Here is a 7812-nt window from a genome sequence, read left to right on the forward strand (position 1 = left end):
TTACACACACTAACGCCCTGCAGCATACACAAGTGGACACTTAGAGTCTCAGCCCCCTTCTCCACACACAAACTGAGCCTAAAGAGACACATGTAAACATACATCATCTAAAAACAAATAAGCACACTCAGACATAGATCCAGCCCTACAGACACCATGACAGCCTACCCTCACCACATCACACATGTCATCACCTCCATAATTGCCCTCATTTACAGATGTAAACACCCCCCCACACACAATTGTTCTTCCATTTGTACACACAGCCATACTCAAGAGGGCACAGATTTTCACAGAGCTCCAAACCCATGTATAACCTTATGTCCTCTACTCAGGCACCCTCAAATATGTACTTACATCCTTACAGATGGTGAGACAACTATTGATAGGCATTTATAGGCAGACACATCACACACACTTCTGCAGCCATAGATTCCCAATAGTTATAGTCTCAGTTTGCACACACACAGGCAGGTTCTGACAGGCGCAGGTAGTAGAGGATGCCTGCACACCAACACGATACTAAAGATCCACACCCATATTCCCCAAAGATACAAATATCTGTTCCTTTACTGGCATCAAGGTACACAAAAATAGCCCCAGCCTCAGCTAATGGCATTTCCCGCCCTCTGCATCCCAGTCATTCATTGCTCTCAGACACAGAAATTCAGAGTGAAAAGAGTTTCTCTTTGAACCCTAATCTTTTATACGAAGAGAACAAGTTGCAATGTGAAAGCGGGTGAGGTGTATGCATAGGTACACATGTGTACACACATACACATGCATTCTCAAACATGAATACAGAAGAACAACCCCTCCCTCTCAAATATCTCCTTTGCACATAATAATTTCAGCTACTACTGGGATTATTCCCAGTTATTACAGCTACTAATCTGTGCCAGGCATGATACGAGGCATTTTACAATCGTGATCTCATTTTCTTTTCACAATAATCCCGTGAGGTAGCATCTCTCAGCGTGCTTGTTTTACTGATCAAGAGACTGAGGTTCAGAGAGTTCATGTGATATATCCAAAATGGTGCACATGGCTAATTGCCAGAACCAAGGACTTAAAACCACATTCATCTCACATTAGAGCTCATACTCTTGATTTCTAGGCTGCAGACATGACCATGTTTACTTTCTGCACACACACATGTGCACACACACACACACACACACATACACACACACTCCACATTATCTGTTAAAAGACCTGGATGTGACTCCCAGCCTCACCACTTATAGGCTCAGCCTGTTTTCTCATCGGCAAAATGGGAATAACAATAGGACCTGCTTTACCTCCTTCTCTTCCTCCCCTTTGGGTGGCTGGGGGAATTGAAAGGTTAATAAACGTTATAGAATGCTGCACATATGCCAGATTTGTGAGTGCAGAAGGGCCCCAGGAAAGAAGACCATGAAGATCGTACTGGCTTTGCAAAACTTCTTAGACATGAGCCATGGAAGAGGCTTGAGCTAAAACTAAAGGGCAGGTGAAATTTGGATGGGTTCAGGGAGAAGAAGAAAGTATTTCAGGTAGAGAGAGGACCACAAAGGTTCAGAGGCTGGACAAACAAGCTGCTGCACTCTAATGAGGGGGAATGTGAAGCATGTGCTCCTAGAGTGATAACAATAATAACTATTTATTGAGCATTTATGTGCTAAGCCCTTTGTTGTTTACACGCATTATCCTCTTTAATCCTTGCAACTACCCTACAAAAAGGTTATATTATTATCTTTCTTTTATAGTTGAGGAAACAAGCTTACAGGAGTCCCATCTGAAGCTCTGGCACTCAGATTTTAGAACCCAAACTCTTACCTACTATGCAATTCTGCTCCTGAATTCTGATTAAGTGCTCAGATAATAAAAACTGGAGTAAGAGGCAGTAAAGTCAGTAGTGAAGCACAAAGACTCTAGGGCCAGATGGCCTTGATGCCAACCTTGGCATCTGTTTTCTATTCCCTTTATTACTTTATTACTTGGGTAACCCTGGACAAGTTCTTCAGCCACTCATCAGCCTCAGTTTCCTCATCTGTAAAGTGGGGATAACCGAGTTCAACTCCTATGGTTGTGAAAATTACGCAAATGATCCATGTAATAGGGCTCAGAAATATGCCAGGCACACAGTAAGCAAATGATAAACAGCCATCATTATGGCAATGGACCGGCTGAATCTTGTGGTTGTGATTCTACTAGGTACTACATCAAATTCTTTATGAAGGCAGGGGATGAATCAACCAAAAAAAATCAAATCTTCTCCTGAATAACTTACCTAAGGAAGATGCAGAACCATTATTCGAGCCCAGAACTTGCCTAACTTCAAAGAGGACAGAAGTGAAATTACTTTGGAAAAGAAATCTCTCTTCCAATGACTCCTGACTCCATCTTTTTCCATCAGGAAAAAGAGTCCAGATAGGAGTGACCTTGGCAAAATTAGGATTAGCAAACATAGTACCTTCCATTAGGATACTTGATTTCTTCCTATGACAAACTGTGGGTCACTTTGAGTCACTTAGCTTCTCTGAGCCTCAGTTCCTCACCTGCAAAACGGGGAATAATGATACTGACCTCTCAGAATTGAAGTGACAACTAACTATACATTAAAAACTAATATTTTGGCTGGGTGCAGTGGCTTATGCCTGTAATCCCAGCACTTTGGGAGGCCAAGGTGGGTGGATCACAAGGTCAGGAGATCAAGCCCATCCTGGCCAACATAGTGAAACTCAGTCTCTCCTAAAAATACAAAAATTAGCCGGGTGTGGTGGCAGGTGGCTATAGTCCCAGCTAGTCGGGAGGCTGAGGGCTGAGGCAGGAGAATTGCTTGAACCTGGGAGGCAGAGGCTGCAGTGAGCCGAGATTGCACCACTGCACTCCAGCCTGGCAACAGAGTGACACTCGATCTCAAAAAAAAAAAAAAAAAAAAAAAAAAAGAACTAATATTTTTTAAAGTGTTGTAGATTTATTCATTTATACAACCCTGAAGCTGTATTAAGCACCCTACATGAATAATGGCATCTTCTCACTTTGCAGTTCTTCTCCCGGTCACTAAACAGGATGTGGTCATCTGGTCCTCTGGGGTGAATTTTGCCATCTTCCCCCATTTGAGTCTAGGCCCAAGGGTTCAGTTTGAAAGAGGCTTCATTAGTAACTGGATAATTCTGTGGGAGGCCCCCAGCAATGGTTCGACCCTGCCGGGGAGTAATTCTAGGAAGGTAATGTGAGCTGGGGGAGGCTGGAGACCCAGCTTCACATTTATTTACTTTGACAGCTAAATTGGTGAGCAAGGGGGAAATCAGATGAAAGCCATTTCAGAGTAAATACTAAATACGAAATTTAAACATTCAGATTGTGACAAATGAGAAAGGGACAATGGGAAGAGACACGGCAGCACCCCCCTTCCAAGCCTAGGACCTACCCTCACCCCATCAGCTTCCTAGGTATTTCCTGTTTGAGGAAAGAGCACAGAATGGGGTACAAACTGTATGACCCTAGGCCGGCAATTTACCTCTCCTGGCCTCAGTGTCCTTGTTTGCAAAATGCGCGTGTGAATCAGCGATGTGGAAGTGACGGAGCGAGCCTGGGCGTAAGATAGACCACCAACCCAGCCCAGCCACTTCCTGGCACGCTGAACTTGGAAAAGTCACTTATCTGAAACACATTTTTCTTAATATCAATATCTGGGAACAATATCAATCTCAGAGGAGTCAATAAGATAATCAGTGTGAAAGGGATTTGAGAAGCACAAAACTCCGGGGCCAGATGGCCTTAATGTCAACCTTGTCACTTCCCTTTATTACTTGGGTAATCCTGGAAAAGTTCTTCAGTCACTCATCAGCCTCAGTTTCCTCATCTGTTAAGTGAGGATAACCGAGTTCAACTCCTATGGTTGTGAAAATTACGCAAATGATCCATGTGACAGGACTCAGAAATATGCCTGGCACACAGTAGTCAATCAATAAACATTAGCCGTCATTGTGGCACGGGCTCTCTGAATTTTCTGTTTGTTATTCTACTAGGTACCACATCAAATTCTTTATGAAGGCAGGGGACAAATCAAAGCTTCAAAGTATATGGCAAAGCAATATTGCATACCTCAAAGCATATTGCAAATGTGAACAATTATAGTTACTGGAAGTCCCCTTCCAGGAAGCTCTGACATTCGCTAAGTAAGTTCAGGTCAGCAGACATTTGTGAAGCATTTACTCCATACCAGGTTCCACACTAGGCCCAGGAAATAGAGGAAGCTGTCCTTGTCCCTGCCCTTGAGGAGCCCACAGTCTCTTAAGAGAGAAGAAAGCCAGCAACTCAGTGCAGTGTGACAGGTGCTACAAAGGGTGCTATAGAAGCAAGGAGGAGGGTCACTTAACCTGGCTTATGGGTGGTGGATCAGGAAGGCTTCCTAGAGGAGGTGACGTTTCAGATAAGTCCTGAAGGATGAGTAAGTACAGACAGGCAAGAGCAGAAAGGAGTTGGACCAGGATAAAGAGTGGCGGCCCAGTTAGTGTTTGCTGGGGCAACAAAGGGAGATGAGGCTAGGGAAGTAGACAGGAGCCAGATTGTGGGGAGCTGAGTGTTGACGAGGTTAGATTCATCTTGGAAGCTGGAGTCTACAAGCCTACAGTGACACAGGAAGCAGCATCCTGCAGGAGTTGCACAGCACAGTGGTTAAGGATTCCGGGGTTGGAGCCAGGTGGCCTATATTGATAACCTGACCCTGTTACACACTGGTTGGGGGGCCGAAGGCAAGTCACAAACTCTATGAGCCTTAGTTCCCTCAACCGTAAAATGGGGATTAATAGATAACCCATTGACAAGTGCTGTGATGATACCAGGAGACCATGATGCATCTACGAGTTAAGTTCTTGGCCACCAAGAGACATTGTTATCACTGTTACCACTAAGAAGATGAGGTAATGGTCACACAGAAGGCACTAGCTAAGTGGGGATCCTCAAGGTGCTAGATGTTCCCTCCTCAGAGAATTCTACCCTGACCACATGATTGAAAATAAATCTCCCGTATTAATCTTTTTCCAGCAGAGGGTAGATACAGCTTACACATAGCCTCACAAATAGTCTTCTATAGAATGCCAAGGAATTTCAACTTCAAAATAGGAACTATGAGGGGCTTGTCAGCATGGAGATGACATGGTGAAGTTGGAGATTTGGAAAGATGACTTAAGTAGTTGGTTTGAAGATAGATTTGAAGGGGTAAGTACTTAATTGATTGCAGCAATACTGAACGTTTATTAACTAGTAATCTAAGGGAGAAGGAATGAGGCAGCTGCAGGAACAAGGAGGATGAACAGAAATAAAATAATTAAAAGTTTATTATTTTACTTTATTATGTTGTATATCATCATATACATATCTACAACACATCCAGTTTTCTAATCATCTTTTTTTTTTTTTTCCTTGAGGCAGAGTCTCGTTCTGTCGCCCAGGCTGGAGTGCAGTAGCACCATCTCGGCTCACTGCAACCTCTACCTCCTGGGTTCAAGTGATTCTTATGCCTCAGCCTCCTGAGTAGCTGGATTACTGGCACGTGCCTCCATGTCCAGCTAATTTTTTGCTTTTGCTTTTGTTTATTTGAGACAGAGTTTTGCTCTTCTCGCCCAGGCTGGAGTGCAATGGCGTAATCTCGGCTCACCGCAACTTCCACCTCCTGGGTTCAAGCGATTCTCCTGCCTCAGCCTCCCAAGTAGCTGGGATTGCAGGCATGTGCCACCACGCCCAGCTAATTTTGTATTTTTAGTAGAGATGGGGTTTCTCCATGTTGGTCAGGCTGGTCTCCAACTCCTGACCTCAGGTGATTCGCCTGCCTTGGCCTCCCAAAGTGCTGAGATTACAGGCATGAGCCACCGTGCCCAGCCAATTTTTTGTATTTTTAGTAGAGACGTGGTTTCACTATTTTGCCAGGCTGGTCTCAAACTCCTGGCGTGAAGTGATCTGCCTGCCTTGGCCAAAGTGCTGGGATTACAGGCGTGAGCCACCACGTCTAACCAACTTTACATATTAAGGTTATATATAGAATCATATATATGTAGTATATATGGTATAAATACATACAAATGTATCATATATGATATCATCAGCTATATAACATTTAGGAGACTGGATATAGGGAGTGGGGGAGTGGAAAATGTTCAAGATAACTCTCAGGTTTCTAATAGTTTATTTTATTTTTCCCAGTGACACAGAACATGGGAGCAATTGAGGAAGGGCAAGAGGGATCCATGAGCTCGGTTTTGAGTCAATGTACCAAGGGAATATTCAAGTGGAAGTGCCCAGGAGTGAACGGGACATATGGCTCTGCAGCTCAGAAGAGAGCCTGGATCTAAGAGAAGGAATTTCAGAGATATCAGGGTAGGGATAGCAGCGGAAGCCTTGGAAGTGGAGATTTTACAGCAGCTGGAATTTACCCCATCTATGAGAAGAGAGTTGGCTTGTTTGCTTTCTGGGAGGTAATTTGCCCCTGAAACTCATCTTACTTTTGGTGAGAATCGTTTTTTAAATTATAAAGCACATTATATGTAGTGATAAGTGCTAAAACAGACCCAGGTCGTTAAGACGCAGAAAGGCAATTAACTGCCTTATAGGAATGAGCATGGGTGGGAAAATATCTGTTAGACAAGTGGTGGGGGTGGGCAGAAGGGACTTCCCAGGTAGAAGGCACATCTTGTACAAGGACAGGGGAATCCAGGAGAGTCCATCATGTTTAGGGTGCACAAATAGTTTAGTCTGGTTAGGAGAATGCCTAGTGGGACTGATTTGTAGAAGGCCTCATAAACCTGGCTTATCCTATGGTTCTAGGTATTTGGAAGTATCTTAACTCCTTACTTAGATTAAATCTTAATATCTCTCACTTTGGGGCTTTGTTCTTTGTTCAACGTCCCCCTTAAACCGTTTACGCAGCTTATTAAACATCGTTTGGCCGCTCAGCTCGGGGGGAAATCACCTATGTCACCATGTCCCATTCCCAGCCTGGTTCCCATCCTCTGGTGTCTTGAAGCTGCTGAGTCGTCCCTTTATCACGGTACATCACAGTGCACAGGGCTCCTGCCTCATCATCTTTACACCCTCCACGCATCACACATGGCAAATGCCATCTGTTTCAGGAATGAGTAACCTTCCTTCTGATGAGGTCGCCCACCAGAAAGCTTCTCAAATGGGATAGGCCTGTTTTCAGAAGAGGAACACATAACTTGTTTTTTAAGGTGAAAATTTAAAATTATGCTTCTAGTTTAGAAAAGTCACAGGGCATGTAAAAATTAAATGTCATTCAGCATAATCAGTAATCTTAGCCAAGTTTAAGATTGAATGCAGAGGAAAGAAGACACAGACCTGCGTACTCGGATAAATTCTGACAGATCTGTTTTTTTTGGGTTTTTGTTTTTTTCTTTTTAACCTGGGATTCAAGAGGTCTCTCCAGAGACCACAAGGAAGAGCCTGCTTGAGAATGAAACCAACCCAGAGGAAAACACAATCAAGAGATAGACAGAATCCTAACCATTTCACTGAACACCTGGACTTCTCAGTTACATGAACCAATACATGTTCTACCGCAAGGGAGTTGGAGTAGTGTTTTTGTCACTTGAGCTGGGAGTCCTGACAAATCTGCTTACATAGCTGGGGCTACAAGTCTAAATCTGAAGCCCAAGTTCTTACGGCCTTAGTTTCCTCACAGGGACAATGAGAGGATTTAGCCCACATTGATAGCCTTAAGCAGTACAGTGATGCCACTAGGGCTGGCACAGCCAGTTCTCTATCCCAAAAGATGTGTAAGGGGTCAGAGACATTGACTAAGAAACAATA

General features: G+C 43.8%; 1 annotated feature.

The window, feature by feature from the left end:
• Positions 7527 to 7727: a silencer, noted in NCBI's record as "peak7328 fragment used in MPRA reporter construct". NCBI's record gives its function as "represses an SCP1 promoter by STARR-seq MPRAs in K562 erythroleukemia cells {active_cell/tissue: K562}" and the evidence as "EXISTENCE:reporter gene assay evidence [ECO:0000049][PMID:32103011]".

Source organism: Homo sapiens, chromosome 9, assembly GCF_000001405.40.
Source record: "Homo sapiens chromosome 9, GRCh38.p14 Primary Assembly".
Classification (NCBI taxonomy): domain Eukaryota; kingdom Metazoa; phylum Chordata; class Mammalia; order Primates; family Hominidae; genus Homo; species Homo sapiens.